Source organism: Homo sapiens, chromosome 6, assembly GCF_000001405.40.
Source record: "Homo sapiens chromosome 6, GRCh38.p14 Primary Assembly".
In the NCBI taxonomy this organism is placed as follows: Eukaryota; Metazoa; Chordata; class Mammalia; order Primates; family Hominidae; genus Homo; species Homo sapiens.
This window is the reverse complement of record NC_000006.12, coordinates 149,129,299-149,131,528: the sequence shown is the minus strand read 5'-3', so window position 1 is coordinate 149,131,528 and position 2,230 is coordinate 149,129,299. Positions and strand designations below refer to the sequence as shown.

Below are 2,230 nucleotides of genomic sequence, written 5' to 3'. Positions count from 1 at the left end.
TCCTGCTTCCCTTTCATCCTCTCCAACTTCCCAGCTGCCCTTCCTTGTGGTACCCAGGGCCACCTTCAGTGTGTGGTCCAGGATGGATCCAGGCCTTTTCTCATGAGCTCAATAAACCTCATTCCCTGGGAGAAGCATCATGATTGGGCTTTAGGAGGTCATCTGATTCTGGTGATATTTACTGGTAGAAATGGCTGATATATGGGATCACTTGGCAGTATTTAATACCTTTTAAAAGAGAAGCCCATTAACCAAGATTATGGTAGAATGTGGTACATTTTTTAGCTTGGAGGGCCTTTCATTCTCCACCAATATTTCAGAAAATCAGGAGTTAGTAAATCAGTACTGTTGGCTGCTAGTCACTGATTCAGAGAGCCTTCTCCTCAGCCATATTGGGGTTTTATTAAAAAAAATATTCGGGAAGGAGATTGTCTACTTCATCACATAACTCTCCTTGACTGTTCAATGATCCTCACTATCAGGATGTTTTCTCTTGTATCTAAGCTAAATCCTGTCCGTGTTGTTTGATCCATTTTATTTCCTCTTGTCCTGCCCTTAGTGGAAACAGAAAACAGCTGGTGACTGTTTCTTGCATACAACAAAGGATTCTGGCTTCTAAGCCTATTCAATTAAAAGGAAACTCACTAAAGCAGCCACCCCCATTGCAGAGCTCTGGGGCCCCAACTCTAACTGCTGGGCTAGGGTCTTGCACTTCAGAAAACCAGAGGCACCACCATATACCAGTTTTATGTCCTTGCCGTGTGTGTGACAAATCCTGTGTTTAACTTGGGCGAGCTTCAGAAGGTTCTCGTTGTACCACATTCCAACTAAGAGCCTGCCACAGGAGGCCTGCATTTGAACTCTGTTGACGTTCTCCACAACCTTTCAGACTTCCCTAATGGAGCCGACAAAGTAGCTGCCACGGAGGACATGGATACTGTCACCATCGTGGAAACATAGTGTTTATCCACTTGGAAAAAAGGGGGAGTATGGAGAGTGTCAATACATAAAACTGCAGGGCCAATTCCCTGTGCACTCTTCTTTATACTATTCAGCAATTCATTTCATGGAGCAAGACTCCTTAGCCAGCTTGGTGAAAAAAAAAGGGGAGACATGTTTCATTTGTATTGAACTCAGGACTCTGACTTGAATGTGGTTAGAATACAAGTCTATGCCGAAAGGTTCTTGCAAATGCAGCAAAAACACTTCTGAAATAGGAATCAATGTTCAGGTTTTTCCCTGGCAAGTTTATCTTTGCTGTGTCATTCACTGCTTTTCAAGTAGGATCTAGGGACTGGTGTAGAGTTCCAGAAAGTAACTCATAATAATAAAAATGAACATTTAGTGAACACACATGCCAAGTATTTGATGCATATTAACTCCTAATTCTTTCAACAATGCTCTGAAGTAGGCACTGCTGCTATCCCCATGATATAGATAAAGAAACTGAGGCACAGAAAGATTAGGAACTTGCCCAAAGTATCTGTTATAGCAAGAGGTAGAGACATAACTTGAATCCAGGCAGTTTAGTTCCAGAGCCCAGACTCTCAGCCAAGCATGACATGACATCTGTGCCCAAAGCCATGAGTCAAATACGGCCACCGCTCTGAAAATTCCTGTTGCTCAATGATGAGTAGTTCGACACATCATTTTTTTTTTTACAGTGATAAAACAGATGTAGCATGTAGTCTTACGCAAACATGCAAAATCAAAGAATTTTTAGTATGCAGTGAATTGCTTCAAGCTGCACCTTGGTGTCCTGGGGCATGTACTTCACCTCCTCTGATGTCTGGGGTAGTACGCTGATGAAAAATGTAAGAGCTACAGTGGCGTTCCTTACCTCTTCCTCTTCTCAGTTCCCCTGCACTGAAGCCAGAGGTCAGAGGTCAGATGTTAGGTGCTGATAAGACAATCTCCTGTCATGTTTTTTTCGACCATTGCTCTACCTCCTTTTTTCTGGTATGGTCAAGGATAGGAAAGGGGTTGTGATGGTTAATACTGAGTGTCAACTTGATTGGATTGAAGGATACAAAGTATTGGTCCTGGGCATGTCTGTGAGAGTGTTGCTAAGAGATTAACGTTTGAGTCAGTGAGCTGGGGAAGGCAGATCAACCCTTAATCTTGTGGGCTCAATCTAATCAGCTGCCAGCGAATATAAAGCAGGAAGAAAAACGTGAAAAGGAGAGACGGGCCTAGCCTCCCAGCCTACATCTTTCTCCTGTGCTGGATG

The 2,230-nt window shown here is 43.2% G+C and overlaps 1 annotated feature.

Annotated features, from left to right (window-relative positions):
• Positions 1,850-1,909: a silencer, noted in NCBI's record as "silent region_17656". NCBI's record gives its function as "represses an Ori minimal core promoter by ATAC-STARR-seq in GM12878 lymphoblastoid cells {active_cell/tissue: GM12878}" and the evidence as "EXISTENCE:reporter gene assay evidence [ECO:0000049][PMID:35858748]".